This window comes from Homo sapiens, chromosome 4 (assembly GCF_000001405.40).
Source record: "Homo sapiens chromosome 4, GRCh38.p14 Primary Assembly".
Taxonomy (NCBI): Eukaryota; Metazoa; Chordata; class Mammalia; order Primates; family Hominidae; genus Homo; species Homo sapiens.
This window is the reverse complement of record NC_000004.12, coordinates 27,012,512-27,030,667: the sequence shown is the minus strand read 5'-3', so window position 1 is coordinate 27,030,667 and position 18,156 is coordinate 27,012,512. Positions and strand designations below refer to the sequence as shown.

Here is an 18,156-nt window from a genome sequence, read left to right as displayed (position 1 = left end):
GGCTTGTGCCTGTGGCATACATTTCTAACTCTACTCAAAACCCACTCCCTCCTTCTTTCTTATCAGTAGAACCCCAATTGTGTTTGAGGGCAGAAGCATACAATCAGTCAAGCAATGAATCAGTGCTAACCTGCTATATTTATCAGCTTCTGTAGCTGACGATGACTACATGGCATCTCAGTTCTGGCCAACAAGCTGAAAAGTGAGGCTGTCGGGTGAGGCTTCGCAAAAAGCTCTTTACAAGGGAGTAGCATCACTGGCACACACCATCCTGCCTTTGCCCTTCTTCTTCCTGCCATATGAATGTGATGTCAGCGGTTACCTTGGGCCATCAGGCAATTCAGGATGGGTAAGTCTGCTTAGTTTTCTGTGACTTGCAGCTGAATGCGATACTGTCAAAAACCCTGAGGTCAAAGTTGTGCTTTCCACTCTTCTCTCTTTAGCAAAAAAGCCACTTCTTCAGCAAAGCCTGTCCCTGCCTTCAAGTTAAGTTAGGCCCCCTTTAAGTAGTCTCACAGCCCTGTGAACCCTTTTTTCATAGCACTAATAACAAGCATGGTAATTTAATTACTTGTGAATTTGTTCAACAAAGTAGGAAAGGGCTGTGCTTCTTGTATTGTTTGCCCTGCACACAGCACATTGTATTCTCTCACTATTCAATAATTATTAAAATAAGATTGAATAATGTAAGAAATCACATTAATTATCAGATATGTAGTATAGCCATTAAATGCTGAGTGCAGGAGAGGTGGTAGAGACCAAGAGTGGATAGGCTAAATCTCTTTACTAAGCAAAAACCTGAAAGAATGTGTTCCTCCTATTGAGTCTATTCAGATATCACTCATCCTTCAGTGTTCAGCTCTAAAAATATATTTCTCCAAGAAAACATACTGGACATACTGGTCACTTTATGCCACTTTGATCTCCTCTTTTCTTGGAATCCTCCTGTAAGACAATGAAAATAGAGTATATACAAGTGAAAATAACACTCACTTGTATTGGATAATACTCTTGAACTGTTTTCTGGTCATTCCATTTGCAATGGCCTTTACCAACCTGGAGGTGGAAGGCAGCAATACTGTCTGTTGTTCATTTATTCACTCATCAGGCATGCAATGTATTCAGTGCCTAAAGTGCCAGTTCTTGGGAGTTCGAAGCTACACAAAGCAAAGTCTCTGCTCTTATGTAATTCAGTCTGTTGGGCAAACAAGTAAACAGGTCATTGCAATACGATGTGTCAAGTGCCGCAATAAATACAGAAAATTCTGCATATCTAATGGCTTCAGCACAGGAATTCAAGACTAGCCTGGACAGCATGGAGAAACATCTCTACAAAAAAGAAATACAAAAGAAGCCGGGGGACTGGGTGCGGTGGCTCACGCCTGTAATCCCAGCACTTTGGGAGGCCGAGGTGGGCGGATCGCCTGAGTTCAGGAGTTCGAGACCACCTTGGGCAACAGGGTGAACCCCGTCTCTACTAAAATACAAAAAAAAAAAAATAAATAAAAATAGCTGGGCATGGTGGTGCGTGCCTGTCGTCCCAGCTACTTGGGAGGCTGAGGCACGAGAATCGCTTGAGCCTTGGAGGCGGAGGTTGCAGTGAGCCAAGATCGCGCCACTGCACTCCAGCTTGGGGGAAAGAGAATCTGTCTCAGAAAAAAAAAAAAAAAAAAAAAAAAACCAATAATAATAATAAAAGAAGCCTGGTGTGATGGTGCACACCTGAAGTCCCAGCTACTCGGAGACCAAGGTGTGAGGATCTCCTGAGCACCCAGGGAAGTTGAGGGGACAGTGTTTCATGATTGCACCATTGCACTCCAGCCTAGGCAAGAGTAAGACCCTGTCTCAAAAAAAAAAAAAAAAAAAAAAAAAAAAGAGGGGGGGCGTGGAAAGAAAAATTCTGCACATCACAGAAATGGTATCTCACCCAGGTTGGGGGCATGCATGGAAGGCTTCCTAGAGATATCAGAGTTAAAGGTTTAGCGTTAGTTGCCTAAGATGGAAGGGGACGTTCCAGGCAAAAGCAGCAGCTTGCCTTACTTCAGAAATTGCATGAAGTTCTGTGTGACTGATTAGGTTATGTCCACAAAAGCCATGAGGCCAGAGGAGTAAGCAGGGTACAGAACATCAAGGGCCTTTGCTAGTCTTGGTTAAGTTTATATTTTATCCCACAGGCAACAAAAGGCATAGAAAAATTGTATCCAGAGAAAATCCACTGTGCAACTTAGAGAGCTCACCAATGAAAGGATGAAGCGGGTGGTGAGGCTGGGTTCAGTTTGCTTTTTGAAGTGAATAATATGAGAAATGGAGAAACAAAGCCCCAGGGCAGTAGAGAAGCGGGGAATTCACTGAGATATTCGGGGAACGAAATGGACAAGATTTGGTGAGTTGACAACAAATGTACCCTTCCCCTCCTCTCTCCTTCCCAAGGTCTCATGCCCAGGCCTATTTACAGGTTCATTTTCTTACCTTTAAGTCAAAGGCAACCTCTAGTAGAGCAGTTCACTGTTGCACCCAGGCTCCGTTTTACACCCCACACACCCAACACCCCTTTTTAATTTGTCATTGTACTTTTTGCTACAGATACACATCTTAAGTAACAGAAAGCTTTTTTTGTGGAGAACAATCAAGCAAAAAAGCCACATTTCTTATTCTGTAAACGTTTTCCAGTACCTCAGAGCTGGTGACCTTAAATTTCCCTAAAATCTGATGCCACCACACCCTAAGAAGCCAGAGGTCTGTAGAAATAATTCAGCAGTTGATGTTTTCACACATGGGAAAATTAGCTTATGTAGATATTTTAGAGCTAAGATGCCTCCATTAAAGAGGTGGTGCTTTAAGGAGTACACAGAGGATGTTTTTAAGAATGAGAACTGCAACACTGGATGGCTGCTAGCAATAAAAGCCATATCAAACTGAGCAAATCTGAAGCAAGAGATGAACTATTTTGACCCACATAAGATTTCTTAGAGTTCTACTTTTATAGGGAACTAGAACCTGGCAGGGCAAAACAGCACCATGTGGGAAGCGGATGCTTGGCTGTTGCTTCAAGGTCTGGTGATTGAGAATGGCTGAGCCACTGTGACTTCCTGGGGCAGAGCAGCTCTCACCAGCAGAAGGTGAATCGCCCTCCTTCCCTTTAGCTGGCTGCTCTCCCTTACTTTTGGAGGTTAATGAAGATACTGCAACATATCTAGTAAAAATTGTATTGCTTCACTGCTGGAGACTCTGGCCATCAAAATGCTGCAACTCATGAAAGACTGTAAGGCGTTTGTCTCAATCCCATCACACTAACAGGAAATCAAGATGTGGACTGAGGCTTCTCCATGATCTCCTATCTGGGCCTATATGGAACACTGCCCTAGAGAGGACCCTTTGAGAGCCACTTCAGAGACTTTGTAGATACCCAGAAAAGCCCAATCACGGGACTGAGGTCAAATCCTGAAATTTGGCCGGAAGCTCACTTGACATCAGCTGATTGAAGATAGCATCAGGGCTACCCTGACAAATCTGAAGGACAGTGTCTTTCAACAAAGACACTGTTTGAGAGGGGATGAACTGTCTTTAATCTGTACTATCCAGGCTTACATGAGATTGCTCAAATGCGGTGTTTCTGGCAAACACTTTGCTCCAAAATAAGCACCCCCACAGCTAGCAGCAGGTGTTTCCCTGGAGCTCAGTAACTACAAGCTCATTTGGCAGAACCAGGCCACTAGTGAGTAGAAACCCTAAAACTAACTTGCCCTTGGTCCTATACGTTTCTGTCACAGCCAATCTCTCCATGTCCTCAACAAAACAGCACCATTAAATTATCCTTGATTTAATAAATACTTTTGAACTATACAATCCCTCTCCCCACTGGGCCCCACCTCCCCAATATTCGCTTTTCATTTCTATCACTCCACTCATTACAAGGACTTTTGACTGATCTGTCTCCTCTATTAGATAGCAAGTTCCTTTAAAGAAGGCACCTGTCATCTTAGTCGTTATACCTTCAGAGTTTATCATGGTGCTTGGTATGTGGTAGACTATTAAACATTTGTTGAATGAGTTAAGCAGATCCTATATTGTCTCTTGCCTGTAATTTTTTGGGGAAAATCCACCTTGACCATATAAACAATGTGAAACTCTCCCATTCAAGACCCCAAATCAGGAGATCAATAAGACTAAAACTTAAATCTAGGTTTTCTTTCATTTACTTTTAAAATCACTATGAAAAATACATGTATCATTTTTTGAAATCACTGAATAGTTAGTAAATGAAGAATACAAGAATAGCTATATTTCAAAGACTAGCTAACTGTGCCAAAGATTTAGAAAAACAGTAGGACCCCAAGAACTTAATGGGCACAAAAACAAACAATTCACTAAAATAAAAAATACACAAGGCTAAGAAAACACGAAAAAAACCTTCCAACCTTATTAGACATTATATTTACCTATTAAATTAACAAAGTTTTAACCAAATGGTAATTCGGAAAAGGTAGTGTGAAGTCAAAGGGCACTCATACACATTCAAACATTGAATGGAGGGTGGTTATCAACATGGTTATATGAATAAGAAACCTTAAAAAGTTATGTCCAAGGCTTGTGAGACTACATGTGTGTATATATACATACACAGGTACATATATATTAAAATGTAAACTAAAAATCCTTATATTTTTCTGTAAACTTCTAAAACTATATGCCCTAGGAAACCAAAGTGTTGATTAGACTTTATGCAGTATGACTTAGAAATTAAGAACATGGCTCTATCACTAACTAGCTATATGACCATCAGCAAGTTGACTTTTTGGGCTTAGTTTCATCAGTAAAATGGTAATAATAATAAAAGTACCTACCTGACAGAGTTGGTGTAAAGATTAAATGAGAATATAAATTAAGAGTGTAGAACAGTGCCTGGCATATAGAGTGCTCAATAAATGTGAAATGCTCTTACTCCACATATCAGAAATTTAGAAACAGCCAAATGTTTAATGACAGAATACTTCAAAAGATTATGGTAAATTTATACAACAGCATATTATTATACAGTCATTAAAATGTTGCTCATGAAGTTTTAATGATGTTGGGATAATGCTTATATTAAGTGAAAAAGCATGATATAAAATTGAATATATAGTATGATTTCAATTATGTAAAATATACTTCAATATGTAGAAAAAGATCTAGCAGAAAGCATACTAAAATATTAAAAGTGATCATTTTGGATAGTAGTATTTGACCTGCTTGCTATTTTCTTCTTTATACTTTTCTATCATCGATCTTTTTTTTTTTTTTTTTACAGTAAGGAAAATATTGCTTTTAAAATCAGGAAAACACCATAATTTTAAAATGTTAAAGTAACAAATGGATAATTTTAAAAACTTACAGAAATGTCCAACTTTTCACATATAAATGATGTAATACAGAAATTACTGTAGCTTTCCAAAACTCAATAATTTCCTGTTGAATTTACAAATGTGTATACTGTATTAATGCAAAATAATTATCATAAGCAACATAAAGCAGTAAATATCCCTTGGTTGAATTTGTTTATAAATGAGTGTCTGAAATTGAGCACAAACAATGCACATGCTCCCTGACTGAAAACAGCCCACAGTCTCTTTGGCCAGCCTCCTCCACTCTAAGCAGCAGTGCCGGCCCCCAGCTGGTCCTGCTCCAGAGCTCCCTTCTCACCCAGGAGCAGCAGTGGGCCTTGCTAACAGCTCCTCCCATCTTCACTCCGTGCTCCAGCAACTTTTCCCTTCTCTATTCATCCAACTGCAAAGTTCTCATTCCTTTTGCAATTTTCAAAGGGAAGAACTCCTCCTGTCTGGTTATAAGAAATAGAAGGATAAAGTTTTCCCTTCACTCTGAATGAACACTCCAGAACCCTTTTCAGTTCTTTATGCACAACTTTTCCCCTCTCCAACAGCTTTCAACCCTGTGTTCCTCAACCCTACCTCTCAGGTTATCTTATCATTAGTGCAAAACGCTATGTTCATTTCAATCCGTTTTTGCCCTTACAGAACTCAATCTATTAAGTATATAAATATCAGCCAATATAAATACCATTCAAGTTTTTAACAATAGTAATAGAATAAACAATCACAATTTATAGGAGACATCAGGAAATTGTTCATATTCTTACTAAAGCATTTCTTTAAAGCAAATCTCAAAAGAAACTTCTGGTTTATCAATTAGCATTTTCACCTAAATAGCACTGGGTTAGACATATATTTTAGCCATAATGCTGAAAAAGCATTCTAACTAAAATGTATCAGTTGTTCATCCAAACATCCATCTGCATTGCAGTAACCAAATCACTTATGATTGCATATTTTTAAAGTGGTATAAGCAGAAACTCCCTAGATGTTAACATACTTTGTTGCTATATGGAACTTAACTCTCTACTGTTTTTTTAACAACAAAAGCTACCCTTATACAACCCACCAATTTAATGAACACCATACTTTATAAATTAATACAACGCAATCTAAATGCACCATAAATTTATATTTGTTAATCTTGATATTAGAACATTTTTACATTTCAAACTACATAAAAATATAACAATATAAAATAGAAATTTGTTGACAACTTACGTCCAAAACATCACTATTTCTTATATTGCAACTAAGCAACAAGACAGCTTACACAGCTCTCCAGAAAACATAGTGTTTTTTGTGTTATCAACAAAAATCAGCACAATCCCACACAATAATGTCTTCAATTTATTATCTTTTCCACAGTACACATTTTTCACAAACCGTAAATCCTTTGCAGTTATTCAAAGTGTGTAAACAATTGCCTGAATCCCCATATCCCCCCACCTCGGCTTAAGGTTGTGAATGTTTTAAGTCCTTCAATCAAGTTTCAACTCTTCCACTTGCATAAGGAATCAAGAGCCTTCTCTCTTTAAATTATGTGTGTTTTATCATACAGCCTGCAATGCAGTAAATCACAGTGAAAGCCCTGGGGAAAACAAAACAACATGATCTTTACAGCGGGACTTGAAACTTCACAATAGTAAATGCAGTTCAAGAAGCTTCCCATAATAAAAGCGCGGGTTTTCATTTCCAGAAATCAAGTCAATTAGAAACCCTAGGTTCTACTTAAAAACCCATTTTGATCTAAAAGTGAAAACAGTCCCCTATCCATAGTCATTTTATAAACTCTATACAGTTTCACTTGCAGAGATTTTTTTTTTTTCCAGTCTGGAAAACAGTAGTGCAATTACGTTTTACTTCTTTTAAGTTATATAGTCCAGGATGTAAATAGCTCTGTGGAAAGATAAGAAGATGCTCTGGTAAACAAGAAATTTTTGCAAGCCCATGCTGGCTTACGAGTCCATTAAAGCTTGTAAGTCCATCGTGGCTTTCAACAAAATGTTGCATATACATCACTGAGAACAAAGCAGAAATAAATAGGCAGAAATGACTGTAAACTGTCTCATTTCAATGATTTTTCAGTAATAACTGGCTTGATGAATTGATTATATATAGTCACTTAAATAAGCAGACAGTAGACAGTTGCCCTTCTGGATGTTCCACTATGGCATCCGGCCTGGAAAGCCCCAATGGAGTTACATTCCTAAAATTAAACCAAAAAAAAGGTGGGGAGTGGAGGGTGGGGGATAATAGTTTACAGATGCCACTTGAACATGATTCCATCAAGTCAGCCAGTTCACTTAGATTTCTTCTTAAAAAGGCTTTTGATTTTTGATGGCTTTTTGCTTTTCTCTCCATTATGACAAAGGTCATGTGGGATGCTGCTTATTCTGGCAACACTTGGGGCTTCCTGAACTGGTTTACTGTCGTTGCCAGCTGAGGAACATGATGTGTGGCGAGGTTTAGGCACCGGGATGCCACTGGAAAGCTGGTTCATGCTACAGGATTTCTCCAAAATGCCATTGTACACTTTGCTTGCAGGACTGAAGATCATACTCTTAGTTTCTGTCAGACCTACACAGTCGGGAGAACCCCAAGACACATCCACAGTTACAGGCGAATCCCCTCGGGAGGAATCCTCTAGGGACACCTCATCTCTTGATATCTTTCGCGGAGATAATGTTTGGTATATCTCGAGGCTTAAAGGAGGAGACTGTTTCCTTCCAATGGAAGAATTTAAGGAGTCACATTCTGAAGCTGTGTCTGGCACTTCCCTGAATGAAACACAAACAAAGGTACAAATTTTAAATCAGTATGTTCTTAAGAGTACTAGCAGACATTCTAACTAAAACAACTTTCATTGCTTTTTGAAATTTAAAAGAGGGAAATGATATGATTCTATATACATTTCAGCAAAATTAGAACATTACTTCTTTAAATAATATGGCTTCTCAAAACTCAATGCTGGATTTTTAACATAAACCATAATAAAGAAATCTTACAAACTACAGACAATATAAGGTACACCTCCTTTTTGTCAAATAAATTAAAATGTTAAATTTTACGGGTGATTCAGCTATCATCTCAGCTACTTTTATGTTTTGTTTCAATACTATTTTTCTTTCTAAATCAGAGTTAACGCTATTTTAAAAGATGAATTTTAGTCACTGCCTCTCCCTTTGTCATTAACTTGATGAACTATAGCTTTGTTAGGAAGGAAGAAATATACATGAAAGGAATTACACTAAAATGTAAGTTCTACCAAATTTAAAAGGGGGGCAGGGAATCGAGGCACATCAGAGTATGGCAGTGGAGGGGAGGGGCAAACATATGATGCTATTTTTAAAAAAAACAGACATTCAGTAAATTCTCACAGCATTCTTACTTTTGAATGTTTTCCTCCTTTTCTCCACAGTGGAAAAATAAATTTTGTAACCCCAAAACCAACATATAGTAAATGCCATCACCCATTCCTTCAAATCTCTCTCAAATCCACCATTCCTTATTATGTCCCCTGCTCCCATCCTTCCTCTGCAACAGCCAGGAACTCAACTAAATGATTGCAACGGCTTCCTAATTGGTCTTCCTGCTTTCATTCTCATTCTTCCCTCCCAGCTACTTCTCTACACAGCCATTAAAGTGATTTTTAAAAACTCAAGCAAAACATATCATTCACTTACTTGAAACTTCCCAGTGCTTTCTCTCATACTCAGAGTAAGATCCAAAGTCCTTGTCAAAGCGTACCAGGCCGTGTACATGTGGTCCCTGGCTGTCTCCAACTGCACACTCCCTTGTGTTCCTGTAACATGCCAACCTCGAGACCCCTCAGGGCCCTGCATTTGCTGTTCCCTCTGCTTGGTGTTATCTACTCTCCATCTCCACGTGGCTTACTTCTCCAGGGTACGCAGGTTACTGCTGCCTGCCCTAACCACCTTGTCTGAAACAGCATTCTCTTTCCTTTTACCTGTCTTTGTTTGCAACCCCAAAACTTACCAAAACCTAAAATGATATTTTATATTAACTTGTTTATAGGCAGAATCCCAGAAAAAAAGAAATAAATAAGGACAAGGAGCCTTATTAACTTCTGTCTTCTCTGCACTAGAAGAGTGGCAAGTTTACGGTAGGTACTTCATAAAAATGTGTTGGATGAATGAATGGAAGGGTGGGTGAATGAATGAATGAACAGAGTGAGATATTAAAGAACAGGGATCACATCTTACTCACTTTTTTTTTTTGAGAGCTTTACTACTTAGTCTCATTCACTTTTGCACGCACCGAGCCCAAGGTGAATACTGTTCACTCCATGAAAGGAAATGATTGAGAAATGAAAGGGAGAGTCAAGGTAAAAAGTGGCAAAAGAAATACAGTGTGAGAAGGGAACAGAGCTGAAGGCAGAACAGAAAGGCAAGAGCACATATGATTATAACCCAGCAGCTGGAACTAGGCCAGGTCCTTGTCTCACTTGTCTTGGCAGCTCATGTTATAGGCAAATGCACCTCTCATAGCAAGGACTAAATTCATATTTACAAAATGAATAAACTAAATGATCTCTTACCTTAGATGGCCTATGATTAATATCATTTTCATGTTACTGATGTACACATTTACTGGAGGTCTGGCACTTAATTTTGATGAATATTCTATGTTAATACCACATTTTAGATACATATTCAGATTGCTGAATTTAGTCATTTCTATGTACTTTACTCACATATGTCTATGAAGATCGTCTTTACTGCACTACAAGCTCTCGAAAGGTACAAAATCCCCTAAATAACGACCTAATGGTTTCACATAATACACCTACGTGTGCTGCATAATTCTCAAATGCTTTTATAATTCAATAATGGGTAGTGCTAACAGAAAGCAAGAAGCAGTTCAGATATGAGGAAATGATCAGACTCAGAAATCAATCATTGATAGAGGCATTTCTGCAAAGCCTTTTTTGGAATGGCTGTCCATTAATTGAACAGAATATATCACTGTTCCCTGAAGCTGTTCAGCTTCCAAAGTCAGAAGCTGATTCAGTTATAATTTTATGAATATTTTCTCTTCTGTTATGTGGCTTTGCTGCATTGTGTGTGAAATTCTAAGCTAGGCTAAAAGTATTTTAAAAACTAGCCTCTAAACTCTAAACAATGTGTGAAAAGAATACTGATTTAAGTCAGGAGACTTGGGTTCCTAAGATGGTCCTACCATTAATCAGTTGTAAAAGCCTCAGTAAATCACTTGATCTCTTGAGGTCTCAATTTTCCTATCTGTTAAAGTAAGAAAATTTGATTAATCACTAATGTTACCTTCTAGTTCTAACATTTGAATTGCGTAATGACAATAATCCAAAGTGTTGCTTCTTCTGCATAACTAATCTGACTTGGATAATAAGACATAATACAAGTTCAAATTTTATTTTCTTGCAGAGTACATACTCTTTGGAATGTTGAACTATCTGTACCACTTATGCTATTTTTTTCTATTTCTTTTTTTCCCCAGAGTGACATGGAGTTGAATTCACATGTAAGAAAACTCAAAATGAGGTTTAAATGAGCATATATGTGCATAAGGCATAGAACATTCCAACAGAGCGAGACTCCGTCTCATAAAAAAAAAAAATCAGTAAATATTCAACATTATTATTTTGTAAGGATTCTGGTGGTTCAATAGAGGAGAGACTGAAAATGAAGAGGAAGAAAAGTTTTCCAAATTCAAATCATTCTCTTATTTATGAGAGCTAGCTATGAAACTTTGACATTGCTATTGAAATGAGAACTGAACGTTCCATCAATGCAGGAAGTTTTATTAGACAGTGCAGCTCTCGAGTTTTCCTTCTGATTTCCAGAAACCACACAAGACCAGTTCTGTCAGTAAAGGCATCTTGCTGGTGACTATGATCATACTGCAAAGACAGACGAAAAGCTAGTCATAAAGTGTTAACCAAGCAAAGTCGCATCAGATTCTCCAACTGCAATGAAGATATAAAGCCTGCATTATCTCCTTAGGAATATGCTGCACTGATCACTTGCAAATCATAAAATTTTCTTTTACTACTAGATAATTATGAATGAAAAATGATTATTGATGATAATGTCACCTAAAGAGTCACATGATAAAGAGTGTAGACCACTCCCTTTTGCTTCTCATAGAAGAGGGTAAAGCCTTTGGGGACACATAGCTACTCAGTGGCAATACCTGAAACTACCACTCAATACCATACTGCTTTTAAAGAGTAATGTGGTTTAAGAACAGAGCTCCTCAAATTAAGAGTTTCATGGAGCACTGATGTCATTAAGTTGGACTGAAATACGCTGCTGCTATGCCCATTTTGTTAAGTTACTAATTTACTTTTCTAAGTTCCTGACATTTTCTTAAACCTTTGGCATATGATACTGCTTATGTGTTAGCAAGTACCAGCACATAACAGAATAAATCATTAAGTGACAACAAATATTTTTAAGTCAGTCATATCCGATATTTCTTCGTGTTCAAGTATATTCAAGCTCATGCTTTTCCATTTTACATATAAAATTGTTCATGACAAGTTTATGCTCTGAGATCTGAGTCAACCGTGTCCAGTGACCTCTAAGCAGTTACATCTCAAAATATCTACCTACATGTCTGTGGTAGGCAGAATTCTAAGATGGCTCCCAAATTCCCAGCCCCTGGTGTACACACACCTTCTTCCAGTTTTCCAATCAAACATAAAAATAGATGCTGCTGTAAAGGGATTCTGAAGATAAAATTAAGGCCCCAAACTAGTTGATGTTAATATAGAGAGATTATTATTATCCAGGGGAGCCTTTTACATTTTAGTCTAGAGATCAGAGAGACGGAAGTTGGAGACTCAAAGCAAAGGAGGAATCTACAGCAGAGAAATTCTCTATTGCTGGCTTTGAAGATGGGAGATCCTGTGGCAAGGAACAGTGGACAGCCTCCAGGACCTGAGAGCAGCCGCCATGCAGCTGACAGAAAGCACAGACACGGGGACCTCCGTCCTGGAGCCACAGGAAATGAAGTTCGCCACAACCACATGAACTTTGAGAACTGCAAGCTCCAGATGAGAATGCAGCCTGGCCAACACCATGATTTTAGCCTTGTAAGGCCCTGAGCAAAAACCCCAGTCACACCAGGCTTGGAATTCTGATGTACAGAACTAAGAGCTAAAAAATGGGTGATGTCTGAGGCTGCAAAGTCTGTGGTACCTTGATATGTAGCAACAGAAAATGGAAACATGCACCACTCCTCCCGCCCCCTCCTCACACCTTACCCCCAACCCAGCCCCAACATGCCCTGTAGATTATTCACTGCCAATACCATTGCTTTTCAGCAGAGAAGTAAATGGCCTCTTCCTCCTCTTCATTTCGATAAAGCGCAGGGCAACTTGACACTGAGAGGATATCTGGATCAGGGGAAGGCAAGGAGTGTGGTGTGTGTTGCGGGTGGTGAGGGTGCCGAGGGTGTGACGGGTGGGGGGCGTGTGGAGCAAGCTGAGCTCGCTGAGGCTGAGGCGAGGACGGCACAATGCTGCGGCGTGAACGGCACAGGCTGCTGCTTCTGGCTAATGATCCAGGAGGTTTAGCCATGGTCCCTGAAAAACACCAAGAAAGAAACATGCTCATGAAGTCCAGGGTTCCCTTTACAGTCACCACAAATACATACACACAAGAGAACTGATGTCACTAATATGTCACTGTTTCATCTCCCTTTACTGAAGTTACTGTACAGTTATTACCATTCTCTACTACCTACACTAGGAAAGTTAAGAAATAGAAACAAAAAAAAAACAGGTTTAAAAAACAAACAGAAGTGAACATAAACATGAGGCTTTAACAGAAAATCTAAATGTACTAACCAAAAAGGCTTAAAAATTTACCTAAGACAACAAATCTTTAAATTTAAAAACCTGTATTGTATCACAAATTTTTTATGACTGTTAACATAAAGAAAGGACAACAGAATAAAGTAGGCTGCAATGGTATCTCTTGAAATATCACAAGTTCTTTGAACTCAATCAGTTTTAAATCAAGGAAATCACTTAACTACTGTATGCACAGTCTCACAGCTGGTTAGGCAGAGTTCAGAGCAAAACTTGTTTCTTGAACACCCACTACTGTGGAACTAAACAGAAGTCTTAGATCCAACTATTTCTGCTACCAGTCTCAGTTGAGACTCATGCAGGTGGGTAAACAAACTTCCCCTACATCTTCAATATCCTCACTAAATGGGCATTCCATTTCTTACTCTTAACTGAACGAACATAACTCACCTAATAACAACCTTCTCAAGCTGAAGCTGTTCGCTCCTGCATGGTTCAGATGCTATAGCATCAGAACAAAAAGTGGGTGGCTTCGCTCCCCAGTACTGTCTGCACACCCTTACTTCTACAACCTTTTATACAAATGCATTCCTGCTGAAGCGAACACTATTAAGGGACATGACTGAATCTTCCACCTCCACTTCACTAGTCACTTCCTGGACATTCTCTCTCTTACTGGCCCTTACAACCCATCATCAGCATGGGCAACTTCACTTGTAAGGTTAGGCTTTGGGCCCACGTTAGGTATTGGAATAATGAGTCAGTGCTCTGGATAAAAGCCTGGACCTAGAAGGGCTACATTCCTCAGTGAAAGGGTAAAATTCTAACCAATTAGCAAGCAAATTTATTTTATTTCAAGATCTCTAAATATAGCCATTTTAAAGGGCTTCTGTGAAAAACTCAATACTCTGAGCCTACATCTCATATTAGATTGGAGTGCAAGTTCATACTACCAGAGGGTCTATGAAACTGTATTCCAAAGAGTTAATATAAAAAACTGCTCCCAACTTGGTGATATCCTTGAAACTACTGCCAGAAGCAAAGAAAGGCATTTTGAGGGGCACTTTACCACTCACACAGTATTTTCCAGGGTGGAATAATGCCAATCTCCTTAACAATAGCTAAGTAAAACATTATAAAACAGGAGAGAGAAAGCAATCCGCTATGCAAACACAAGAAACTGCTGTAACAATTGACCAAGAATATCAAATAAGAGGATTATCAAATGAAAACTAAAAAATAGGGATTTTTTTACATCATGAAACTATATAACAATAAATTGAAAATATGAGAAAAGAAAGCATTAAAACATAGAGTTGATGAAGAATCAAAGATAACTAATAGAAATGAAAAACAGTAATTAGAGTTAAAAATTCAAAGGATGAGTTAAAACTAGAACTGAAGAAATAATTAGTAAGCTAGAAGGCAGATCTGAGGAAATGTCTCTAAATGCAGCATAGATAGATCAAAAGACTATAAAAAGAAAGGTTAAGAAATGTGGAAGATAAGATGCAATATATAACTAATAAACTAATATTAGCACTAATATTTCTACATAACTAATATTCCAGAAGGCATGAAGAAAAAACAATATTCAAAGAGATAATGGCTAGTGTTTTTTTTTCAGAACTGATAAAAGACACATCCTTCAGATTCAAGAAACACACCAAATATTAGCAAAAAAAAAAAAAAACTGTTTAAATCCACACCCAATCATATTATAGGGAAACCATATGACAACAAAGACAATGAGAATATTTTTCAAGCAATCAGAGAAATGGCAGCTTATCTAAAAAGAACCCGAACCAAGTTGACTGACTACAAACTTCTCAACAGCAACAATGACAACCTCAAAATAACTGAGAAATAATTATTGAAAACTAATTGTTAATCTGGAATTTTATATCTAGTTACATTATTACTTTCAAGTGAGACTGAAAATAAAGTATTTTCAGGCAAAGACTAAGAGAATTTATCATTCCCAGTTGCTCACTGAAGTAGCTTTTACTGAAGAACATATTTTTAAGAAAGAAAAAAAAGAAATGAATAACAAGCAAAATGCAATGATAAACAGAGAAATAAACACATAAGTATATCTAAATTATGACTGAAAGAAACAACAAAAACAGTGACTGTTTTGAGAGACATTTGAAACAAAACAAAATACCAGACAACGTTAACACATAATTTAAGATGCGAGAGCAGTGGCTAAAATTAAAGCCTCTGAAGATCCTGAATTGTTCAAGAGAATGAGAGAAGATAAAAGGTGTGAAAAACAGAAACCACAAAACAAGATTCCAGAGATAAATTCAAACAGATCAGCAAGGAGAGTAAATATATTTGGATTAAATTTAACTTAGCCAGAAACATATTCTCAAATAGGATACAAAATAAAACCAGTTACTGCTATTTTCTTATAGAGATATATCTAGTGTCTAATAATGGAAAAATTTTGAAGAACGTGAAAAAGATACACTAGGCAAATATTAATCAAAAGAAAGCTATTATAGGTATTTCAATATCAGGTAGTATAAACTTAAAGGCAAAAAGCATAGCCATAAAGCAGTGTCCACATAACTATAAAAGGAACAGTTAAATCTGTAAAGAAGGTATTATACCTGAACTTGTATTCACCAATATAACTTAGTACAAATTATATAAAACAGAAATGGGCAGAATTGTAAGGAGAAACTGACCACCATGGGAGATTTTAACAAACATCTCTCTGCAACTCATAGAAGAACAGACAAAAATGTATACGTATACAGAAGATTTTATCCTAACACCTGATTTAACAGACTGTATAGTACCCTGTAACTAACAATTAAGAAAATGTAATTTCCAGATATAGACAGAACCATTAAAATATATGACCAATAAATACTAAGTCACAAGGCAAGTATCAGGAAATACAAAAAAAGTCATATTAACCTATTCTCTAATCACGCACAAGTAGAAATCAATAGGCAAAGATGTTTTTAAAACCCAACAGACAACAAAAAAAAAAACATACATACATATTTGGAAATTAAAACATATGCTTCTAGATAATTCATATTTCAAGGAAGTGACATATTAGTAATTAAAAACCTTTTAATATTTGATGATCATAATCAAATTAATATATCAAAACTTGTGGAGGTGGCTAAGGTGGTTCTTAAAGAGAAAATTCATAGCCTTAAAATAATATGAGAGAAAACAAAGACTTAAAATTCATGTGGGAGGTGTATAAATATTAAAACAATAAGTAAAAAAGTAAATTCCAAGAAAGGAAATAAAAGAGCAGAAATAAACAGACAATATTAACAAAACAAACAGGATTTCGACAAGAGTGAAATAAAATAGACAAACTGTCAGCCTGATAAAGGACACAAAAGAAGATACAGATAAGTAATTATTAGGAACAAAAAAATTTAAAGATGTAACTGAGATTTTTTACATCATATAAAACAGTATAAACAACTTAAAGCCAATAAATTTTAAAACTCAGATAAAACACAATATTCTAGAAACATGTAACTTCACAAATCTACACTTTTAATCATTAAAGAAGTTAAATTAATACTATAGTTTAAAACTCTGTTCCTTGCCAAAACATATATACATCAAGGTCAATCCATAGGCAATGTATTTAAAATCCTCAAAGAACAAATAATCCATACCTTAGACTATTTCAAGGTACAGAATAAAATCATACCATTTAATGGGTGATTATTGTAGCCCACCCAGGGGCTGGTTCCAAGTGTTTTACAGGTATTACTTAATTTAAATTTTGACATATCTCCACAAGGTAGGCTACATTTCACAGAAAAGGAAGCTGAAACTCAGGAGAGTGCCTCCCACTCAGTGTCCTGAGTAAAAGGTAATAGAATTACTACAAGGTGAACAAAGAATCAAACCCAAGCAATCTTGTTCCAGAATTCCACATCTTAACCCTACTTTATATTGCTGCCTCTCTAAAAGTAGAAAAGAATGGAATGAAAGAATAAGGAGTATAGTATTCCCCCTTATCCTTGGCAGATAGATTCTAAGACCCCAGTGGATGCCTGAAACCATGGATAGTCCCAAACTCTATACACACTATGTTTTTCCTATGCATACATACCTATAATAAAGTTTAATTTATAAATTAAGCACAGCAAGAGATTAATAACAGATAATAAAAAAGAACAATTATAATAATATACTGTAATAAAAGTTATGTAAATGCGGTTTCCCCCCACCCCCACCTCGAAATACCTTATTGTACTCTACTCACTATTTTCAGACCACAGTTGACCACAGGTAACTAGAAACCATGAAAAGCAAAACCACATATATGGGCAGAGGGGGACTACTCTTTCATTTATTTTATGATGTTAATATAATCTTGATACCAAAATCTAAGATAGTGTCAGGAAGAAAAATTACTGGCTAATCCAATGTGTGATTAAAGATGCAAAAATCCTAAATAACGAACCAAACGCAACTCATTCTAAAAATTGTACATTGTGACAAATATAGTTTCACTGACACTTAAAGGATTTATTTAAACAGATTAAAATTCAGCAGAATAAAAAACGAATGATCACTTCAAATTACGCAGAAAAATAATTTGGTAAAATTTAATATCCACTGATTAACCAAAAAAAACCATTCTTAGCAAGACAGAAATAGAAATGACTTTCCTTAACTTAAAAGTAATCTACCAAAAACATTAAAAAAAATACTTCCTGGTGAAATTCTGGCAGCATTCTCTTTAAAGTCAGAAATGGCAATCCCTATTGCCTGCAGTCACCATTTTCATTCAATATTTTACTGGAGGTCTTAGCTTGGGCAATAAAGAGGAAAAAATCTACTAGTATTAACATGAAAAATCCAAGACTACCATAAAATACTTAAATATATGTTTCTGTATTTGGTATTCTGTATTCAGCACACCAAATCCAACGGCATTTCCTCATCAGCAACAAGCAATCTGAAATACAGTTT

General features: G+C 36.9%; 1 protein-coding gene across 3 annotated transcripts in view, besides 2 other annotated features; it reads right to left on the bottom strand.

Annotated features, from left to right (window-relative positions):
- Nucleotides 1-5,286: 5,286 nt before the first annotated feature.
- STIM2 (stromal interaction molecule 2) overlaps nucleotides 5,287-18,156 on the bottom strand; it is a 164,541-nt gene continuing 151,671 nt past the window's right edge. For 2 of the 3 annotated variants that reach the window (NM_001169118.2, NM_020860.4), the window contains 2 exons: nucleotides 12,684-12,957; nucleotides 5,287-8,149 (listed from right to left, as the gene is read on the bottom strand). In NM_001169118.2, coding sequence (NP_001162589.1) covers nucleotides 7,672-8,149; nucleotides 12,684-12,957 — 752 coding nt within the window. In that variant the 3' untranslated portion in view covers nucleotides 5,287-7,671. Of the gene's footprint in view, nucleotides 8,150-9,599; nucleotides 9,668-12,683; nucleotides 12,958-18,156 lie in introns of all 3 variants that reach the window. The other variant, NM_001169117.2, reaches the window with a different exon arrangement.
- Nucleotides 12,350-12,849: an enhancer, noted in NCBI's record as "H3K4me1 hESC enhancer chr4:27019441-27019940 (GRCh37/hg19 assembly coordinates)". NCBI's record gives its function as "activates a minimal SCP1, AML or CMV promoter by ChIP-STARR-seq in primed H9 embryonic stem cells {active_cell/tissue: H9 hESC(primed)}" and the evidence as "EXISTENCE:reporter gene assay evidence [ECO:0000049][PMID:30033119]".
- Nucleotides 12,850-13,351: an enhancer, noted in NCBI's record as "H3K4me1 hESC enhancer chr4:27018939-27019440 (GRCh37/hg19 assembly coordinates)". NCBI's record gives its function as "activates a minimal SCP1, AML or CMV promoter by ChIP-STARR-seq in primed H9 embryonic stem cells {active_cell/tissue: H9 hESC(primed)}" and the evidence as "EXISTENCE:reporter gene assay evidence [ECO:0000049][PMID:30033119]".